We start from the raw sequence: 21,413 nt of genomic DNA, 5'->3' as shown, positions 1-21,413 counted from the left end.
GAAATCACTGGAGCCTCATTCAATCCCAGAGTCCTCTAATTCTAGGAAACTTGAGCATCCCCAACCGTTCTGAAGCCTGAGGACTCCCCCACCCGACCCCACTCCCCACAAGCCCCTCCACCATCAACGCAAGAGTCTATGTCTTCCTGACCAATTCGAAAAACCCAAAGGTCGCTTTTCATGAACACAGAGCCCCCAAATCCTAGAAAACCAGGACAACTCAGCGGCCTCATAAAGTCCCTCCAGAATCCCCCAACACCTTTCCTCCTTACGCGCCCAAGAAACTTGGGGCGCTCCATCCTAGCTCGAAGACCCCACACGTCTCTATCATTCTAGGAGAGCTCAGCCCCCCACCCCCTGCCCCAATAAACTAGAGACCTTTCCCCGAACTAACCCCAGGATTCTCTGGAGACTTAGCCTTCTCCACCACAATAAAGGGGACTCTTTCCCCTAAAAATCTCAGTACTCCCCGAATCTAACCCCTACAAATTGAGGGCGCCTAATAAATCCAAGGGCCCTCTTTGCATCTCCACATCGAAGCAGTGGGTTCGAGTTTCCCCTGAATCCGAAAGCCGTGGTCCTCCTGGACCACCAGACTTATTGGGTGGAAGGGGCACAAGGAAGCAGGGGGCTTACCTGGCCGGGCGGCTGGGGACCCCCGGGACCTCGACGACCTGGCTGGGGCTGGGGCTGGGGCTGGCGGCGGAGGTGGCGGCTGCGAAGAGCGGCAGCAACAGCACCAGCAGGAGGGGGCGGCGGCCGCTGGTGCCAGGCCTCGGCATCGTGTCGGGCGCCGAGTCCCGCTCCGGGCGGGCGGTCTGTCCAGCGGGTCAGGCTAGCCCCGGCCCCGCCCCTGCCCCCGCCCCCGCCCCCGCCCGAGGCCGACTCACTTTCTCCACAGTCCAGCCACGGGCTGCGAACTTCCCGCCAATCACAGCCCGGCGCCGCCAGCGCTCGCCGCGCGGCCAATCAGGAGGCAGCAGGGACAGGTGCCGGACTAGGGGCGCGGGGGACCTCGAGTTCCCCACGCGGTGGGGGGAAATTAGGACTCGGATACTGGCTCCGTGAACCTTCTCGTGGAACAGAGGTCCCAGGCGTAGGGGTGCTTAAAAATGGGAGGGATACGGGAGCGGGGTTGGGGGCAGGGTCCCCTAAGCTGGACTCCATCTGGCAGTCCTCAGCTCTCTGCTCCCAGTTCTGGGAGAATTCGGTCAGAATTTAGCTCCCTCGCTGGCGTAGAAGCTGGAAGCCCCCCACGGGTACCCCTTTCCACGAGAGAGACTGAGGATTCTGCAAATGGAGCACCAACCCTGCACCAGCCCCCAGGTCCTGCCCCTCTGAGGGTCCCAAGTTCACATTGGATCTTCTCAAAGAATTGATCTCTTCTCAAGACCCTGGGCTTCAGGGATTCCAGGCTCACCATCTGCAAAAGCTTGCTCCCCGAAGCTCTGTCCCTCAGTGAACCCAGCCAGGCTCTGCCCCTGATCCACAAACTCTGCTCCCAGGGTGCTCCTGGCTCTGCCCCCTCCTGCACCCCACTTATCGCCGCCCCCAGAGGGTATCAGACCCCCTTCCTTGCCTGAGTCTTTGAATGCTCCCAAGAGCAGCCTCCCACCACCCAGAATTGCAGACTTTCTCCTTAGAGAGTTCCCAGTTCCGGCTAGGTGCCCTGGCGCGGGCCTGTAATCCCAGCACTTTGGAAGGCCGAGGTGGATCGCTTGAGTCCAGGAGTTTGAGGTGAGCCTGAGCAACATAGTACAACATAGGACCCCATCTCTATTAAAAATCCAAAAATTAGGCCGGGCGCGGTGGCTCATGCCTGTAATCCCAGCACTTTGGGAGGCCGAGGCGGGTGGATCATGAGGTCAGGAGTTCGAGACCAGCCTGGCCAAGATGGTGAAACCCCATCTCTACTAAAAAATACAAAAATTAGCTGGGTGCAGTGGTGGGCGCCTGTAATCCCAGCGACTCGGGAGGCTGAGGCAGGAGAATCGTTTGAACCCAGGAGGTGGAGGTTGCAGTGAGCCAAGATCACACCACTGCACTCTAGCCTGGGCGACAGAGCAAGACTCTGTCTCAAAAAAAAAAAAAAAAAAAAAAAAAAAAAAAAATCCAAAAATTAGCCGGGTATGGTGGCATGAGCCAGTAGTCCCAGCTACTCGGGAGGATGAGGTAGGAGGATCACTTGAGCCTGGTAAGTGGAGGCTGCAGTGAGTTGAGATGGCACCACTGCACTGCACTGCACTCCAGCCTGGACGATAGAGTGAGACCCTATCTCAATAATAAATAAATACATAAAACTATATAAAAGAGAGTACCGATCCCTTCCTTGCCTAAGAGTCTCCACCACTAGGAGCTGCAAGCCACAGGGGCCCTTAAACCCCGTCCACACCGGGGTTCCAGGCTTCAAGCCTTCAAACTCAGGGTCTCAAGCCCAGCTTGAGACTCAAAGCTCTTGGGAGCATTCAAAGACTCAGGCAAGGAAGGGGGTCTGATACCCTCTGGGGATGGCAATAAGTGAGGTGCAGGAGGGGGCAGAGCCAGGAGCCCCCAGGACCCCCTGGGAGCAGATCCTGTGGGTCAGGGGCAGAGCCTGGCTGGGTTCACTGAGGGACAGAGCTTCGGGGAGCAAGCTTTTGCAGATGGTGAGCCTGGAACCCCTGAAGCCTAGGGCCTTGAGAAGGGATCAATTCTTTGAGAAGATCATTATAAATTCAAGGCTCCACCCTATATTCTCTGAAATACAAGCCCCTTCTCTCCCTAAGGCACCACCCTCAGAGCTTCACTCTGCCCCTAATCACCTCTTTTTCCAGAGTTTCAGGCCACACCCTTTCCCACAGAAAACTGGGACGTGACCACATGTAGGATCCCAAGCCCACCCCTTTCATGTTTGCTTCGCTTTGGGGTTCCAGGCCCCATATCCCAAAGCAGTTGGATTCTTAAGCTTCCCAGTTCTGTAGCGTTAGCCCCGCCCCCACCTCGTGGATCCCAGGCTCCACCCACACAGGGTACTAGGCCACACGCCGTGACCACAGAGCCCACCCCAGACCAAGAATGGCAACTGATCCAGTTGCACCCCCCACCCCCCACTCCTGCTCCTTCTTCCAATCCAGGAGGGTGTGCAGGACTGACGGGGAAGCCCTTCACCCCCGCTCACTGTGAGACACACAGGCTGACTCACACGGCTACACACCATTACTGCCACCTACAGCAATCCATGCCTCCATCCCACACTGACACCCAGAAATCTGGGTCCAGCACCGTCCAGGGACACACAGTCCCTGGGGCAGGTGACGACGGCACTCACACTCCATTCACAGCTATTCGTGGGCTGTCCCAGAGCCCGGCTCTGCCCCATGACTGTACTCCATGACCCTGTTTTTGTATAACCCCCAAGACCCCTGCTCACATGACCCTGCAGGACAGCATATCCCTACCCGCTTCCCCCCTCACCACCTCCTACCCTGTGGCTGGAGCATTTGCTGGGGGCGCTGCTGAAATTTCTCCCTTCTGTCCGGGATCCAGCGCATCTTCAATGCTTGTTGCTAGGCAACATCCTCTGGCTCACCACTGCAACTTCCGGCGTTAGCCTCCCCTCCCCCTAGAATTTGGAGTCCCCAGCTCCCCATCCCTCCCATCAGTGTCACTATCTCCCAGGATCGTGTCTATGTCACCTCTTGAATCCTAACTCATCTCAACCCTTCAGAATCCCTCAGAGTTCTAGTCCCCCCGCATTCCAGAATCTTCCACCCCTCCCCCCATGCCCTCTCACGCACAAAAACACACAGAGTTAATACTATACTAGGATAATACTATCTCTAGCATTTAAAAAACCCAGCTCTTCAGTGTTCTAGATTTGCTAACATCCCAAATTCTCCTCTCTCTCTCCCTCTCTCTCTCTCCCCCCCCACCCCCTCCCCCAGAATAAGGCCGGCTCACGTCTGTAATCCCAGCACTTTGGGAGGCCGAGGTGGGAGGGCAGATCACTTGAGGTCAGGAGTTTCAGGCCAGCCTGGCCAACACAGTGAAACCCTGTCTCTACTAAGAATACAAAAATTATCCAGGCATGGTGGCGCACGCCTGTAATCCCGGCTACTCAAGAGGCTAAGGTGGGAGGATCACTTGAACCCGGGAGGCAGAGGTTGAGGTGAGCTGAGATCACACCACTGCACTCCAACCCGGGCAACAGAGAAAGACCCTGTCTCAAAAAAAAGAAATAAAGAAAATAATAAAAATTTAAACATGAAATAAGAATAGAATGACCAGCATTTCAGCAACACGAGCGTTCTGGATTCTCCGGCCTGGAAAAAAAAATGACTCTAATATTCTAGATCTGTGAGCATTACAAAACACCACCATATTCTAGATTTCCTGACCTTCCAGGCCCTCCCCCTACATACTAGATTTCCTAACATGCCAATATCCCCCAATATTCTGAATATCCTGGCATGTAAAAAATTTTCTAGAGTGTGAGGCTGGGCATGGTAGCTCACACCTGTAATCCCAGCACTTTGGGAGGCTAAGGCAGGAGAATGGCTTGAGCCCAGGAGTTTGAGACCAGCCTGGGCAACATAGTGAGACAATGTCTCTACAAAAAAACTTAAAAAGTAGCTGGCTGTGGTGGCACACACCTGTAGTCCCAAATACTCAGGAGGCTGAGGCAGGAGGATCACTTGAGCCCAGAAGGCCGAGGCTGCAGTGAGCCATGATTGCACCACTGCACCCTAGCCCGGGCAACAAAGCAAGACCCTGTCTCAAAAACAAACAAACAAAAACAAAATTAGGGTTTGAGGTGCACAGCTATTTCAGAACACCCCGGTTTCAGAGGCACTCACCTTTTACGTCTCCCATTTGTGTTCCAGATTCTCTGATAATCCGGAATCTCCTGCCATTATGGATTTCTTGGAACGCAAACAAACCTTCCAGTGCTCTGGAAGGGCGGATAGTCCAGGATCTCTCCCATTCTCTAGATTTCCTAGTAATCCAGGTTCCTTTCTGTATCCTATAATTCTCAGCATTCCAGACATCCTGGCATGCAAGATATTCCTACCGGTGGAGATTCATGGGTATGAACTCCCCTTGACACTCCCCTATTCTAGAATCAGTGATTTTTCAGGTCCTTTTTGTCAGAAACTTCTATATTCTGGATTCTCTGATAAGCAGGGGAGAACTCTAATATTGTTAATCCATGAGCACTCCAGAATATCCTTGTGTCCGAGATGTCCTAATGTTCGAGACCCCTCTCTACTATGTTTCAGAAGCTCTGGCATTCCAGAAACTATGGAATTCTAGAATTAGCATGTTCTAGTATTCTCTACTCCTAGTCTGTCCCCACTTTCTGTCCCTTTTTTATTGGCACAAGGAAAAAAGATGCAGAAAATCTCCTCAAGGAAGTGCCGTAGGAACGGGCATTATTTGGGGAAAAAAAATCCCAAGGCCAGCCAGGAAAGGTGGCTCACGCCTGTAATCCCAGCACTCTGGGAGGCCGAGTTAGGTGGATCATCTGAGGTCAGGAGTTTGAGACCAGCCTGGCCAACATGGTGAAACCCTGCCTCTACTAAAAATACAGCAGGACACATGATCCAGGCTGCAATAATGGAAGGCCTTCATCACACTGGCCACAGTAATTGGTTCAGGAATGGCCACCTGACTTAATTCAAGCCAATGAAAATCAGTCTTGTGATTTTTGCTGTTGCTAGGGAAGAAAGAGTTGCTAAGCAGCTGCTTAGAGTCACCTTGCCACAGAGAGAAAACCTGATTGAAGATGTATTCCAGAGGTAAGTGAAGTTAGGAGATAAAAAGATATTCTGGGCCGGACACAGTGGCTCTCGCCTGTAATCCCAGCACTTTGGGAGGCTGAGGTGGGCAGATCACCTGAGGTCAGGAGTTCGAGACCAGCCTGGCCAATATGGTGAAACTCTGTCTCTACTAAAAATAAAAAAATTAGCTGGGCATGGTGGTGCACACCTGTAATCCCAGCTACTCGGGAGGCTGATGCAGGAGGATTGCGATTGCTTGAACCCGGGAGGTGGAGGTTGCAGTGAGCTGAGATCATACCACTACACTCCAGCCTGGATGACAGAGTGAGACTTTAAAAAAGAAAAGAAAAAAGAAAAAAAGATATTCTGAATTAGTGTTTGAAGCCCCGGATCCAGCCATGCCTGAAGGCAGAGTAAAAGCCAACACATTCCTCCCCTGCAACACCTTTTTTGTTTTGTTTTGTTTTTGAGACAGGATCTCACTCTGTCACTCAGGCTGGAGTGCAGTGGTGTGATCATGGCTCACTGTAGCCTTGGCCTCCTAGGCTCAAGCGATCCTCCCACCTCAGCCTCCCAAGAAGCTGGGACCACAGGCATGCACCACCATGCCTGCTTAATTTTTGTATTTTTTTGTAGAGATGGGGTTTTGTTATGTTGCCCAGGCTAGTCTGAAACTTCTGAGCACAAGCAAACTGGCCTCCCAAAGTGCCAGGATTATAGATGTGAGCCACCATGCCTGGCCTCCCTTTGCTTAAACAAGAGAGGTAGATGTTCCTGATTTTGCATATATCGGGTTGGGTCCCACATCTTCCCCACCCCTTTCCTGGGGAGTCCCAAACCTGCTAAGAATAAGCAAGATGTTGGCAGTGAGGACTTTATTGGGGAGGGTGACTTTGGCTTCCAGAAAAGAGGGAAGGTGGGGACCTAGTAACAATAACCATTTATTCCAAGGAGGCCCTGGCCCTGAACCCGGGGTTCCCACAGGAATCAGGGAGGCACCTGAGTCCCCCAGGACCAGGGCATCCCAAGGCATCATGGCAGCTGCGTTGTTCAAAAGGAAGTTTCATTGAGCTTCATCTTGGGAGGTGTGAGGGGAGTGCCGAGACCGCTGGAGGGCCACGGGGCTGGTGTGGGTGGCCGTCGGAGGTCTGGCCCACTCCGCACCAGTTCCTGGCAGCGTTCCACAAAGCTGCCCCCACCACGGCGCCGGGCCTCAGCCTGCGGGGGGCTTGGGCTCCCACGGTGGCCAGACAAGGAGGTGTTGCTGGAGGCTGAGTGGAGGCTGAGGAAGTAAGGACAGTAAGTGCACGTCATCACGGGGCAGCTGGGCCACTCTGTCCCCGGGAACACCATGCTGTCCCCTCTCCCCTCATTGCACAGAAGGGGCAGTGGAGTTGTGGCTACCTGGTGAGGGAGATGCGGGGTGAGGGGCTGGGGAGACAGCCCCATGAGGGAGCTGAAGGAGCCGGCGGGGCCAGCTCACAGTGTTCCAGCTGTTCCATCAGCTCTTGCTCCGTCAGGCCACCTGCTGGGGGGCACGGAAGCAGGGTCAGGGGGCAAGACAGGGGTCATAGGGCAAGGGCCTGGGTTGCATTGCAGTGCAAGCACCGAGGGTCAGGACAGGAGAGAGGAAGCAGAGATCAATGCATGGGGGCCAGAGGCTGAGACAGGGGTTGAAAAACAAGGGCAGGAAGGGATGGGGAGCAGAGAGGGGGTCAAAGGAAAAGGGGTCAGAGGGCAAGGGCCTGGGAGAGAGATCAAGCAGTTGGCAGTGGAGAGTGGTTCTGGGTGAGGCTGTGGGGCTTGGGACGGGATTGGGGTGGGGCAGGGAGTACCAGGGGCCTGGCCGAGGCCGTCCATGGCGGTGGTTAGGTCCCACATGGCCAAGCTGCCGTTGGCCTGGCCAGTGAGCAGGTAGCGCCGGGGCCGAGAGCCGAGCCGCCGGGAGCCCTCGCACTCCAGCACTGTGAAGGCTGTCGTGGGTGAGCCGTCCACGGAGCGCACGGAGCACACCCTGGGGGGTGCAGTGGGGGAGGTGGTCACCCTCGCTTTCTCACCCTTCCTCGTCCCAGTCCCCACCACTGTGGCTGCAGTTCCTGCCTCTCCAGGGGCCATCCCAATCTTTATCCATCCCTAGCCTGCTTTTGAGTTCCAGTCCCAAGGGTCCAGCAGCTCTTGGACACCGCAGCCCCAAACACCCAGGGAGTCTCCCAGAGCTTCTGCTCTTCCCTGCTCCCACTGCAGGGAAGACCTGAGGCCCGTCCCAGCTGCTCCCCCACCTCCTATCAGCCTCCTGGCCTCCTCCCTGGGCTCCTGGCCTCCCATCAAGCCTCCTTTCATCCCCCATGCAGTGGCCACGGCTCCCCGCACAGGACAAAGCCTCAGCCCTTCCACAGCCTGACAAGGCCCGCCCGCATCTGCACCCCATCCTCACCTCCTGTTCTGTGCTCCAGCCCAGGAGCCCACGTGTCCTTCCCATGTGACCCTATTTGGCCCTTCTCAGCCTCTGCACATACAGTTCCCTCAGGCTGGGGCCCCCTTCCCCTGCCTTCTTTCTTCTGCTCCTTCCTACTTGTCCTCTAGGTCTCTGCTCAGAGTCCCTTCATCCAGAACATCCTCCGAGGCCCCTTTCCCAGCTGAAGCAAGGCTCCTACAGCTCCCTGGGTCTCCTCCATCCCATCCCGACCCCTGCCCCTGGTCCCCCTATCCCACCCCAACCCCTCCCCCTGGTCCCCCCATCCCACCCCGACCTCTCCCCCTGGGCCCCCATCCCACCCCTCCCCCTCCGCCTGGGCCCCCCATCCCACCCTGACCCCACCCCCTGTGCCTTCAACCTGGCCCTGCCTGCACTGGGCTGGCACTGCGCCAGGTCAGTCCCACCAACACCTGTCACACCTTTGATACCAGAAGACAAACCTACCAGGCCTGTCCTCCCTCCCAGCCTTTGCTCCTTCAATGCTCCTTGGCTGGGACCCCTTTCTGGCCTCAGTGATCTGGCTAGCATCTTGCCTTCTCCCCTGACCTCCCTCCCTGTTGGACAGGACTGTCCTCCCTCCCTGTTGGACAGGACTGTCCTCACCGCTGCCCAGTAGATGAGAGACGCACGAAGAGCTGGCTGGCACTGGGCACCACCTTCTGGATGAACACTTGCTGGTCGTCCCGCTCACCGTAGGGGCCTGGGCCAGGCAGGGGCAGGGGTCAGGGCCAGCTGGGATTCCCTCAGCCTCAGACTTCCTTCCCCACTGATGAAACCCACCACCCCAAGACCCCAGTCCCATCCCCAGGTTGTTAGAGTTGGGCAGGGCCAGAGAGGGCTGGGGGGTTGTGGCAGTCAGTGGAGCTCAGGTGCCTCAAGGATCAGGACACCCCAATCGTTGCAGGCTCCTGGGTCAGGTGGCCGCAAGTGGGAATCAGCGGAGGTCAACAGGGGTCAGGTAAGGGGGTCAGTGGGGTGGGAAGGCCAGGAGCCAGTAGGCACCAATGTCATTGCCAGCACTGCAGCCGCCATGCCCATCTGCCGACTCCAGAGCCAGGATCTTAAAGGAAGCGAGTGGGGTGGAGCCGGGCTGGGTGGAAATCATGCCGCGGAAGCGAGTCACAGACCATGTCCGCACGTGGTTGTTGTCGGCACAGACTGAGGGGCACAAGGAGAGCAGGAAGTCAGGCCTGGTGCAGGCATCAATGCTGCCTGCCCGTCCAGAGCCTCAGGACAGCCCCGTTTCAGGAGGGTCAGCCCTTGCTGAGTTCTTCCCTTTCAGAGAATCCTTTCCTCCCCAGAATTCCAAATGTTAAAAACCCTGTTGCCTCTGCCTCCAAAACTGTTCCAGAGCCTGATCTCACCTTGCCCTATCCTCTGCCCCACACCGGTCCTGGTCCATTTCGTCACCTGCCTGGACCGTATCAGCACGCCCCTCCCAGAGGTCCCTGCTCCTGTCCTATCCCAGTAGTGTGCTCCCACGGGCAGCCAGGTGGAGCCTGTGAACACCTGAAGCTAGTCATGTCCCTCCCCTGCTCGGAGCCCTCTGTGGCTCCTGCCCTTGTCACCTCCATACCCTCATCTCCTCCCATTCTCCCCCTCATTTACTCTGTTCCAGGCACAAGTGGCTCCCTGCACTTCCTCAGGCATCCTCTCACCTCAGAGCCTTTGCAATGCCTGTTCCCTCGGCCTGAATGCTTGTCCCTACCAATCTGCACTGCTCATTCTGTTATTTCTGCTCAAAGGTCCTTCCTCAGGCCTTCCCTGAATGACCCCTCTCCAGCGACTTGACACTCTCTAGCCACACACAGCTTCATGTTTATTCATAGCCCTTATCATTGCCTGGTGTTGATTTAGATTATTTTATTAATATTTTATGAGATAGAGTCTTGCTTTGTTGCCTGGGCTGGAGTGCAGGGGTGCAATCATAGCTGATTGCAGCCCCTGACTCTTGGGCTCAAGTGATCCCTCCACCTCAGCCTCCCAAGAAGCTGGGACCCCAGGTGCATGCCACCATACTTGGCTAATTTTTTAAAAATTTTTTGTAGAAACAATGTCTCACTTTGTTGTCCAGGTTGGTCTCACACTCCTAGCCTCAAGCAATCCTCCCACCTTGGCCTCCCAAAGTGCTGGGATTATAGGCATGAGCCACAGTGCCCAGCCTGATTTGCATTTTTATCTATTTATTTTTGAGATGGAGTCTCGCTCTGTTGCCTAGGCTGGAGTGCAGTAGCATGATCTGGGCTCTCTGCAATCTCCGCCTCCCAGGTTCAAGCAATTCTCCTCCCTCGGCCTCCCGAGTAGCGGGGATTACAGGCACGTGCCACCACACCTGGCTAATTTTTTATATTTTTGGTAGAGGTGGGGTTTCACCATGTTGGCCAGGCTGGTCTCGAACTCCTGACCTCAAGTAATCTACCCGCCTTGGCCTCCCAAAGTTCTGGGATTATAGGTGTGAGCCACCGCAGCTGGCCATTGATGTCCATTTTTATAGATTTATTGTCTGCCATCGCTGCTAGAATGTCAGCTCCACGAGGGCAGGGACTTGGCCTGTCTTGTTCATCACTGTATCCCCTATGCCTGGCACATGGTGGGTGCCCCGTAAATCGTTGCTGAATTGATGGATTCCCAAACACACACAGATTCACTCTTCCCCAGACTGATCCCCTATGGTATTCTCTCACTTCTGCAATTACAGTCCCATCCCAGGTCAATCCTCTCCGCCAGAGCTCTCTTCCTACACAATGTCCCTCCCCAGTGGAAATTCTCATCCTCCTGTCTCCACACTCCCATCTGAGCTGTCTCTCCCAGCACTGGAGCACCCCACAGAGGCTCACCTGAGATGAGGTGCTTCTCCGACAGCATGATCTTGGTGACAGGGCTGCGGTGCACAGTGAAGGTCTGGAAGAGCTGAGGCCCCGAGCCCACAGTCTCCGGGTGCTGCACGATGACCCGCACGCCCCCTGAGCTGGTGCCATAGGCGATCTCGATCCAGTTCCCACTGTCACCTGGTGAGGGGCCAAGGATGAGGAGAGGGCCTGGGCCACAGAGACAGAAACCAGGGCAGGGAGAAAGAAACAGGCACAGAACAGAGACACAGTCAGAAAGCAAGGAGAGGCCGGGCACGGTGGCTCACGCCGTAATCCCATCACTTTGGGAAGCTGAGGCGGGTGGATCGCTTGAGGTCAGGCGTTCAAGACCAGCCTGGCCAACGTGCTGAAACCCTGTCTCTAGTAAAAATACAAAAATTAGCTGGTGGTGGTAGTACGCACCTGTAATCCCAGCTACTCAGAAGGCTGAGGCATGAGAATTGCTTGAACCCAGGAGGCAGAGGTTGCAATGAGCCAAGACCACGCCACTGCACTCCAGCCTGCATGACAGAATGTGACTCTGTCTCAAAAAAAAAAAAAGAAAGAAAGAAAGAAAGAGACACAGAACAGAGACACAGTCAGAAAGCAAGGAGAGAGGGAAGGACACAAAAAGATGGTGATGAGATGTGGGAAATGGAGGAACAGGGAGACAAAGGCACAGGTCAAAGGAGGAGAGGCCCAGAGACAGAAATTGTAACAGTGAAACAGCAAATAAGAGAGGAAAGAGAAAGTAAAACAGAGAACAGAGGCCGAGGCAGGAAGATTGCTTGAGGCCAGGCGTTTGAGGCCAGCCTGGGCAACATAGTGAGACCCTCATCTCTACAAAAGATTTTTAAAAAACTAGTTGGGTGTGATGGCATTCACCTATGATCCCAGCTACTCAAGAGGCTGAAGTAGGAGGATCACTTGAGCCCAGGGGGTGAGGCTGCAGTGAGCTATGATTGCGCCACTGCACTCCAGCCTAGGTGACGAAGCGAGACTGTCTCAAAAAACAAAGAAAAATGACATAATAGTGGCATGTGGCGGGAAGGGAGATGAGGAGGAAATGAGTAAGTAAGTGAAATAAGAAAGAGGCCGGGTGCAGCAGCCCATGCCTGTAATTCCAGCACTTTGGGAGACGACGAGAGGAGAATCCCAGGAGTTCAAAACTTGCTTAGCCAACGTGGCAAAACCCTGCCTCTACTAAAAACACAAAAATTAGCTGGGCATGGTGGCAGGCACCCGTAATCCCAGCTACTTGGGAGGCTGAGTCTGGAGAATTGCTTGAACCCAGGAGGCAGAGGTTGTAGTGAGCTGAGATTGCGCCATTGCACTCCAGCCTGGGTTGAATGACAGAGCGATACTCTGTCTCAGGAAAAGACAAAAAAAAAAAAAAAGAAAGAAAGAAAAAAAAGAAATAAGAAAAGGGCCTTACAAAGAAGAAAGGTGATAATGTGTCATGAAGTTAGGTGTATTATTAACTTATTTCTGCTTTAAAAAAAAAAGAAAAGCAGCAGCAGCAGCTATGGCCAAGCACAGTGACTCAAGTCTGTATTTCCAGCACTTTGGAGGCCAAAGTGTGAGGATCACTTGAGCCCAGGAGTTCAAGAGTAGCCTGGGCAACATGGCAAAACCCTGTCTCTACAAAAAAATACAAAAATTAGACAGGTGTGGTGATGCATGCCTGTGGTTCTGCTGTTCAGGAGGTTGAGGTAGAAGAATCGCTTGAGCCCGAGTGGCGGAGGTGGCAGAGAACTCACATCATGCCACTGCACTCTAGCCTGGGCAACAGAGCAAGACCCTGTCTCTATTTTTTTTTAAAAAAGAATAATCCCTGCTTCACACCATACATAAAATTTAATTTCTGATAGAACAGACTTCCATGTAAAAACTAAACTGTAAATCTTCTAGAAGAAATTCAGGAGAAGATCTTTGTAACCTAGAATAGGTAAGGATATCTTAAGACCCAGAAAACACTAACCATTTAAAAAAATATGCTAAGTGAAAAATGCAGACACAAAAGACCATATAATGTATGATCCCATTTACAGGAATTGTCCAGAACAGGCAAATCCATAGGTATAGGAAGCATATTGAGCCTGGCCAACGTGGCGTAACCCAGTCTCTACTTAAAGTAGAAAAATTAGCCAGGCATGGTGATGCACACCTGTAATCCTCCCCTACTCAGGAAGCTGAGGCATGAGAATCGCTTGAACCCAAGAGGCAGAGATTGCAGTGAGCTGAGATCATGCCACTGCACTCCAGCCTGGGCAGCAGAGCGAGACCTTGTCTCAAACAAAAAGAGAAAGCATATTAGTGATTTCTAGAGGGTATCAGAAGTGAGAAATGTGGAGTTACTGCTAAAGATCAGGGGGTTTCTTACGGGGGTGATGAACATACTCTGGAATTTGTTCATGGTGATAGTTGTACAACCTTGTGAATATACTAAAATCCGCTGAATTGTGCACGTTCAAATGGGAAATTTTATGGTATGAGAATTACGTCTCAAAAATTAACCCATTCTGCATTTGATGTCAAGAAAACAAAACAAAAAACTGTCTCAAGTAAGAGAACTCAGGTTCATCTGCTGTAAAACCTGCATCTGTGTTGTTTTATGAACATGTGAACATCATGCCTTAATCACAAAGGTGGGAAAGAAACACAAAGATTAACTCCTAATGGTCCATTCTGCCCCTAGTGGAGAGGGTGGCCACCATCTAGCACCTAGAACGTGCTTATATACAGGGATACTCAGTAAATATTTGTTGAATGACTGGATGAGAGTTGAATCTGGCTGGGCGCGGTGGCTCACGTCTGTAATCCCAGTACTTTGGGGGGCTGAGGCGGGAGGATCATCTGAGGTCAGGAGTTCAAGACCAGCCTGGCCAACATGGTGAAACCCCATCTCTACTAAAACTACAAAAATTAGCCAGGCGTGGCAGTGGGCGCCTGTAATCCTAGCTACTTGGGAGGCTGAGGCAGGAGAATCGCTTGAACTCAGGAGGTGGAGGTTGCAGTGAGCCAAGATTGCACCACTGCACTCCAGCCTGGGCAACAGAATGAGAGTCTGTCTCAGAAAAAAAAATGAGAGAGAGTTGAATCTGCCGCCCCTCGATAAACCCCTCTGGGTCATGCTACACAAGTTGGGGGACAGCTGCAGGCTGGGGCTGGGGCTGGCAGGTGACAGCAGCAGGGGAAGCCGGGTCATAGCTTACTGGTCTTGGGGGTGAGGTAGACACTGAGGGCGGTGACCCCATCCTCCGCTGGGTCCCGATAGAGCTCGCTGACAAGGAGGTCGTTGTCTTTCATGCGCAAGGGGAACTTCTGCACATCTGGGGTGGGCAGGGAGGGTGGAGCGGGTTTGTTCCAAGTGCCCCAGCCTCTCTCCCTCCCTTCCCCTCTCCCAGGGGAGGGTCTCGGGCACCCGGGACACAGGCTGCTGCTCACCCACGTAGTAAATGGAGCCGTTGTTGCAGCCCAGGAGGAGGAAGGAGCCTGCCGCGTCATAACTGGTGATGGGCTGCACCTCCTGGACCTGGGGGTGGGGCAGGACAGGCTGCAGCCGGGAGCCCTTCCATTCCTTTCCTTCCGTGGTGACCCCTCACAGAGGATGGGCCCTCTCCTCCACCTCCAGAACCCACCCACTGCTCCCCAGCCCCGTCCACCCCAGGCCTGCCTTTGTCCCTGTCTTGTTCCCTCCCTTCCTCCCTTTGATGCATCTGTCTGTCTGACTCTTGGCCTCTCCTGGACTCTGTACTTTTTAAAGTTTTAATTTTTTAAATTTTTTGTAGAGACAGAGTCTTATTATGTTTCCCAGGCTGGCGTCAAACTCCTGGGCTCAAGCCATCCTCTTGCCTCGGCCTCCCAAAGTGCTGGGATTACGGGCGGGAGTCACTGCACCCGGCCTCCACTATGTACTTCTGACATGACTCTAATTCATCTCCATTTATCTCTCTGAGTTCCCCCATCTGCCACAGTGGTTCAGTCTGGTTTGACTCTGTCTACCCTTCTCTGTCACCTCTTTCTGATTTTCTATTTCTATTTGCCTGGTTTTCTGCCTCTCTGTCTCTTTCTCTGCCTCTGTCTGTCTTTCTCCCAAAGCCATCCTCCCACCTCAGCCTCCCAAAGTGCTGGGATTACAAGTGTGAGCCACCGAGCCAAGCCAGTTCTTGTCTTCTACAGCATCCCCCCTAACCTGCTCTCTCACCCAGTCCCAAGACAATCCTCCCTACTCCTTTTCAAACCCATTCATGCTTCATGTGGGCTCTGCAGCACCTCCTCCAGGAAGGCTTCCCTGGTGCTCCTTAGGCCTTTATCACAGACATCCCCAGGCTCTGGCCAGCTGCTGGTTCTCTGGCTTCCTCCAGGCTTAGGGGGTGGGGGTGGGGGCAGACGTGAACCCCTTCCTGGGTCTGTACAGTCTGGAAAACTGGGAAGGGGGCAGCCAGGCTGGCCAGAACTCTGACCTGCCAGTGCTTGGTGACGGCATTCCACACCCCGATGCGCCCTGTGTGGCTTGTAGCAATGAGCTGGTTCCCGACGAAGAACAAGGCCTCCACAGGCACCCCCAGATGAAAGACCCCTGCAGTGGGCAAAAAGGGCTCAGCTGGAACCCTGCCTCATGGAGGAGGAGAGGTGGGAGGAAGAACTCCAAGGACCAGAGGGTTCAGTGGGACCACAGAATCCTTGAAGGATAGAAGATTCCATCAGGGGCTGGGCACAGTGGCTCACACCTGTAATCCCAACACTTTGAGAGGCTCAGGTGGGCGGATCATTTGAGGCCAGGAGTTTGAGACCAGCCTGGCCAACATGATGAAACTCCATCTCTACTAAAAAATATAAAAATTAGCTGAGTGTGGTAGCACACAACTGTAGCCCCAGCTACTTGGGAGGTTGAGGAAGGAGAATTGCGTGACCCCAGGAGGCAGAGGTTGCAGTGAGCCGAGATCATACCACTGTACTCCAATCTGGGCAACAGAGAATGACTCCATTTCAAAAAAAAAAAAAGTGAAGATTCCAGCAGGAATTAGAGAAGATAAAATGGGCCAGAAGATTTCTGATGGGGTATGGGATTCTAAAACGGTCTGGAATTCTAACAGCACTGAGATTTGCAATAAGGCAAAAAAACCTCCACTGGTGGCAGGGGATTCTTACGAGGGCTGAGATTTATTTGGGGACAGATTAATAAGTCCGAGATTTGTTGCTGTGGCTTTGAGACAGGGTCTTGCTCTGTTGTCCAGGCTGGAGTGCAGTGGTGCAATCATGGCTTACATAGCTCACGGCAGCCTCGAACTCCTGGCCTCAAGCAATCCTCCTGCCATGGCCTCCCAAAGTGCTGGAACTACAGATGTGAGTTACTGTGCCCAGCCATAAGTCAGAGATTTCTTTTTTTGTTTTTTTTTTTTTTTTGAGATGGTGTCTCACTCTGTCCACTCTGTCGCTCAGGCTGGAATGCAGTGGTGCGATCTCAGCTCACTGCAACATCTGCCTCCCAGGTTCCAGTGATTCTCCTGCCTTAACCTCCTGAGTAGCTGGGATTACAGGCACGTGCCACCACACCCAGCTAATTTTTTTGTATTTTTGAAATAAAGACTGGGTTTCACCCTGTTGGCCAAGGGGGTCTCGAACTCCTGACCTCAAGTGATCTGCCCGCCTCAGCCTCCCAAAGTGCTGGGATTACAAGCATGAGCCACCGCACCGGGCCAAGTCAGACATTTCTCATGGCCACACAGAATAGCGCATTCTAACAAAACCAAGAGATCTAACAGGGCAGGGAATTCTGATGGAGGGAGAATTGTATGTGGGTGGATTTTTCTAGGAAGCCAGGGAATTCTAACAGGATACAGAATTCTGAAGGGCTGGAGCATTCTAATGACACAAACAGATCTAATAGAGCAGAGAATTCTTATGGGTTTGAGGATTTTATGGGGTGGGTCATTTTAACAGGCAGTAGAATTTAAAGGACAGAGGGTTCTGGAAAAGGCTTGGGGTCATACCTATCTCGGAGCCACCGCCTTCCGCCTGCAGAGCCCATAGCAGGATCTCGCTGCCGGTGGCTGCTGCCACCATCTTGTCATGTTCACCCAAAGCCCCACCATGCACCCGGGCTGTGAGCGCCAGTCGTTCGATGGGCCAGTCCAGGCGGGGGCTGGAAAACACCAGCTGCCAGCCAGAGGCTTCCTTCAACCTGTAGGATCGAGGGGACATCACCAACCCTCACCGCATGCCCTTCCCATCAACAGGGCTGGGACCTCCTGCCACTCCCTCCCCAAGCACCTGTAGCAGACTAGAAACTGGGTATAGGCCACAGCGATCCAATTATGGTGTCCACACACCAGGCGCACCATCCCCGGCTCCTCAGGTTGTCCTTGAGGGGAAGAGTAGGGATCAGAAGAGGGTCACAGGGACCCCACAGCTGCCCCAACCTTCCACGAGATAGAAACGTACCTGAGGGTGAGGGAGGGGTTTTCTCATCCAGCATTCGGCCCAGCAGCCCTGCATTGCCAAGGTTGGGGGGCATCGTGTTGCTCCGTCGGACAGGGGCTGGCCGTCCTCCTAGCTGCTGAGGCCCCACTAGGCTGTGCCGGTTCCGCCGCTTCACTGGGAACACTACAGTGAGAATAAGAGGTAGAGTAACAGTCATTGTAATCGTGGCTGTCACACAGCAAGCACTTAAAATATGACGGTGATTGATTTCCCCATGTGTGGGACATAGTCTCCGGGTGAAGATTTTAAGTGGTGCAGTGACACAGCATGAAATGACACTGAACCACATAGCAAGTTACTTCCCTTTCAGTTCCCTTGAGCCCAGCACAGAGGAAGACTGAGTTTAGTGCTGCTGTGATATTAATGAATCTGCAGTATTACCTAATTTTCCGTTTTTTTTTTTTTTTTTTTTTTTGAGTTGGAGTTTCGCTCGTTGCACAGGCTGGAGTGCAATGGCACAATCTTGGCTCACTGCAACCTCTGCCTCCTGGGTTCAAGTGATTCTCCTGCCTCAGCCTCCCAAGTAGCTGAGATTACAAGCACCCACCACGACACATGGCTAATCTTTTATATTTTTGGCAGAGATAAGGTTTCACCATGTTGGCCAGGCTGGTCTCGAACTCCTGACCTCAGGTGATCCACCCACCTCAGCCTCCCAAAGTGCTGGGATTACAGGCATGAGCCAATGTGCCTGGCCCTAATTTTCACTTTTAATAAATGGAAGACTGCACCCTTGGCAAGCAATAGCATCTAGCCAGAGTTGTTTTTCGTTTTGTTTTGTTTTGAGACAGCATCTCGCTCTGTCACCCAGGCTGGGGTGTAATGAGTGATCATAGTTCACTGCAGCCTTGACCTCCTGGGCTCAAGCGATCCTCGCACTCCAGCATCCTAAGTAGCTGGGACCACAGGTGCATACCACCACACCTGGCTAATTTTTTTTTATTTTTAGTAGAGATGAGGTCTTGCTGTGTCACCTGGGCTGGTCTCAAACTCCAGGTCTCAAGTAATCCACCTGTCTCGGCCTCCAAACTGCTAGGATTACAGGTGTGAGCCACTGCTACAGGCCAGAGTTTAATAACACTGCTATGTTTGGGTTTTATTTTCATGTTTACTTTGTATTTATAATATAAAGCTTGCATTTAAAATGATTATTATTTTTTTAATTAGCCGGGCATGGTGGCGAGTGCTTGTAGTCTCAGCTACTCAGTGGCAGAGCTGAGGTGGAAGGATGGCTTGAATCTGAGAGGCAGAGGTTGCAGTGAGCCAAGATCGCACCACTGCACTCCAGCCTGGGTGACAAAGCCAGACCCTGTCTCATAAAATTAAATAAATAAATAAATAAATAAATGATTGTTTTTCGGAAAACAGGATAAAACTAAGTTGGAAAAGTACTACTACAGATCTTTATATCTGGCAACTTTCATGAAGGTAGCAGGTGCTGACTGCAGTTAGGGAAATAAAGCTGTAGATGAAATTTCCCTACTCTGTTACTTCTACCAATCAGAAAAGCCTAGTTCCAATAACCACTGGGGCATACCTTCCATGGCCAGTGGGCTGGCTATCATGGGCATTACTGTCAATAACTTCCTATTAATATTTCTCCCCTCCATACGAAGAATCCCAGGTCTTCCAAAGCCCCCCCTACAAAGAAACCAAACCCGGACTACAACTCCCATGGGGCTCCAGGACATCCTTCTGAGCCTCAAGAGTTAGCTGGCCCATTGTCTCATGGGAAATGCTGTGTCCAACTTCCTTTCCAAGCATCAGCCCAAGCATCTGATAGGGAACTACACCTCCCACTGTATCTCAGGACGCACAGCACAGGCACCCGAGAGCTGCAGCCTTATGGGAAATGTAGTCTTTGGCCCACCTCCGCGCCCCTCCATTCCATTGGGAGTGCCTACCTGGTGGCGGCAGGTAACCATTGAAGAGGACGTTTCCACAAGAAGATCGATCCAACTCCTCTCGAAGCTGCAGGCGACGAACTGCAACAGGAGGACTTAAAGGCTGGGACTTAGGGAGATGCTGAGGCCACCCCATTTCCCCCTCCCCATTTCTTTCTACACAGAGTACCAATACTCCTCCCAGTACGAATACAGACCCGGCCAGGGCCATAACCAGTCCTCCCACCTCTACCCCAGCCCTCTTTCAGGAGAGAAGGGGAAGAGGGGCAGGTAGCATCACAGAGTTGGTTTTCTATACAATGAGGATGATAGCTGGGGGCTCCCACTTACCCAGAGGAGTGAGCCCATAGAACTGGGCTTCATGGAGGAGGCTGGAACCGTGGACACCCCTGGGTAGTAGAATTGACTAGAGGTCAGGGTCTAGGTGTGGGGGTGAACAGAGAATGCTGAGAGGGTAATTTTCAAAACTGCACAGAGAATGTCAAGGGGTAGAAAGTTTTGATGGAATAAAGATGCTAAGGAGTGATGATATGGGTGGAGGAAATGTTGAGTGTGTGTGTGTGTGTGTGTGTGTGTGTGTGTGTGTGTGTGTGTAGGGAGAAATCGAAGGACATAAAATTTTAACATGATCAAGATTCTCATGAAGTTTTGCCTGTTTGCTTTTTTAGAGAAGGGGTCTCGCTATGTTGCCCAGGCTAGTCTCCAAATCCTGGGCTCAAGTGATCCTCCCACCTCGGCCTCCCAAAGTGTTGGGATTACAGGCGTGAGCAATCCCGGCGCGCCCGGCCTGTGATCAAGGTTCTGAATGAGAATTCTAATAGAATGGAGCTCACGTGGACATTCAGAGGAGGTGAAAGAACTCCTCAGGGACTGAAGACAGTGAGGGACTCCCTCCCCTTTTTCCATGCCAACCTGGGATCCAACTCTTTGGTGCGCAGGAAGTTGAGGATGGGGGCGAAGACTGTAGGGTCCCTGTCGATGAAGATCTGCGGGAAAGGGGGGCAGAGGATGGATGGGGTAAAAGGCAGGACTGAGTGGGGTCCTGCCCCTCTTCCTACCAACCCCTCCCCCCCATCCCATTTCAGTTCTTGTCCGACTCACTGCTCCGGTCTCATCTTTCAGCGTCGAGATGCGTCCGCTCAGAAGACTGCAGGGAAGGGACACCGAGCAGGCGTCACGGGCCGGGGGAGTGGATATTAGGTCTCCCACGCCCTCTCCATCCCTCCTACCCTCGCCCCAAACTCGCTCTCCCGATCACCTGGAGAAGAAGGAGTCTGGGATCCAGGTGAGAGTCTGGCGAGAGGTACTGAATCTGGGCGGGGAAGGTAAACGGACGCAAGAGATGAAGAGGAGCGGGTGAGGAATGCGTCCCCCTCCCGCAGGATCCAGGGTTCCCTCCCCTTCCCCCTCCCCCGGCGTTTTTCCAGAATCTCGCGCCTCCAAAGGGGGGGGGGGCGGAGCAACCCTTGATGGACAGGGATTCCCCCAGGAGAGGCGGATACTCCCACCCCGCTTCCCGCCCCCGAGGATGGGACCTCAGGAGTCTCCCACACTCACCTCTTGCCTCCCACATTCAGATGAATGACTTCCCCGGGAGGCCCCCGACTGGGGACCCCCTCGGCTGCAGTAGCCGCTGCTGCCATGGCCCCCGGGCGAGCCGGCTGGCCCGCACCCACTTCCGGGTGTGCACCCGGACCCCGCCTCCATAGGCTGCTCATTGGGCCAGAGACTCCAGGAGTCACTAGCGATTGGACAGAGCGCCTGCCCATCGCGGTTAACTTTTCCGCCTCCTTAAAGGGGTCCGCCTTTCCTGAACTTGACGGGGCGGACCCGGAGTCTCCTTTGGGGAAGTTTATTACGAAGCATAACGAAATATTCTCCATCCCTCTAGGTTCTCGTCAAGGGGCGTGTGTTTAGACCCCGAAATTAAGTCCACATA

The 21,413-nt window shown here is 53.4% G+C and overlaps 2 protein-coding genes across 9 annotated transcripts in view, besides 3 other annotated features; both read right to left on the bottom strand.

Annotated features, from left to right (window-relative positions):
• Positions 1-4,851, bottom strand: part of LTBP4 (latent transforming growth factor beta binding protein 4) — a 36,655-nt gene extending 31,804 nt beyond the window's left edge. Inside the window, exon 1 of one of the 2 annotated variants that reach the window (NM_003573.2) lies at positions 4,836-4,851. In NM_003573.2, the coding sequence (NP_003564.2) occupies positions 4,836-4,851 (16 nt within the window). Of the gene's footprint in view, positions 1-636; positions 783-4,835 lie in introns of those variants that run through there. The other variant, NM_001042544.1, reaches the window with a different exon arrangement.
• Positions 820-1,114: a silencer, noted in NCBI's record as "tiled region #6117; HepG2 Repressive DNase unmatched - State 20:ReprD, and K562 Repressive DNase unmatched - State 1:Tss". NCBI's record gives its function as "represses a minimal TATA promoter and a strong SV40 promoter by Sharpr-MPRA in HepG2 and K562 cells {active_cell/tissue: HepG2 | K562}" and the evidence as "EXISTENCE:reporter gene assay evidence [ECO:0000049][PMID:27701403]".
• SHKBP1 (SH3KBP1 binding protein 1) lies at positions 6,620-21,144 on the bottom strand. Of its 7 annotated transcripts, none has more exons than XM_006723474.3 (18): positions 21,032-21,144; positions 20,733-20,786; positions 20,576-20,621; positions 20,387-20,460; positions 19,805-19,863; positions 19,475-19,555; positions 17,532-17,693; positions 17,361-17,451; positions 17,081-17,271; positions 15,551-15,666; positions 14,532-14,619; positions 14,300-14,416; positions 11,073-11,273; positions 9,238-9,393; positions 8,839-8,935; positions 7,595-7,773; positions 7,164-7,287; positions 6,620-7,041 (listed from the first exon to the last, which is right to left on the bottom strand). In XM_006723474.3, the coding sequence occupies exons 1-18, from the start codon at positions 21,115-21,117 to the stop codon at positions 6,810-6,812; spliced, it is 2,154 nt and encodes a 717-aa protein (XP_006723537.1). In that variant the 5' UTR covers positions 21,118-21,144; the 3' UTR covers positions 6,620-6,809. The 7 variants fall into 7 exon arrangements, with proteins under 7 accessions (XP_006723537.1, XP_006723538.1, NP_612401.2 ...); XM_006723475.3 differs by having other exon boundaries at positions 7,164-7,284; NM_138392.4 differs by having other exon boundaries at positions 11,073-11,243.
• Positions 21,046-21,115: a silencer, noted in NCBI's record as "silent region_10635". NCBI's record gives its function as "represses an Ori minimal core promoter by ATAC-STARR-seq in GM12878 lymphoblastoid cells {active_cell/tissue: GM12878}" and the evidence as "EXISTENCE:reporter gene assay evidence [ECO:0000049][PMID:35858748]".
• Positions 21,136-21,315: a silencer, noted in NCBI's record as "silent region_10634". NCBI's record gives its function as "represses an Ori minimal core promoter by ATAC-STARR-seq in GM12878 lymphoblastoid cells {active_cell/tissue: GM12878}" and the evidence as "EXISTENCE:reporter gene assay evidence [ECO:0000049][PMID:35858748]".

Source organism: Homo sapiens, chromosome 19, assembly GCF_000001405.40.
Source record: "Homo sapiens chromosome 19, GRCh38.p14 Primary Assembly".
NCBI lineage: Eukaryota > Metazoa > Chordata > Mammalia > Primates > Hominidae > Homo > Homo sapiens.
This window is presented reverse-complemented; position numbering and strand designations above follow the sequence as displayed.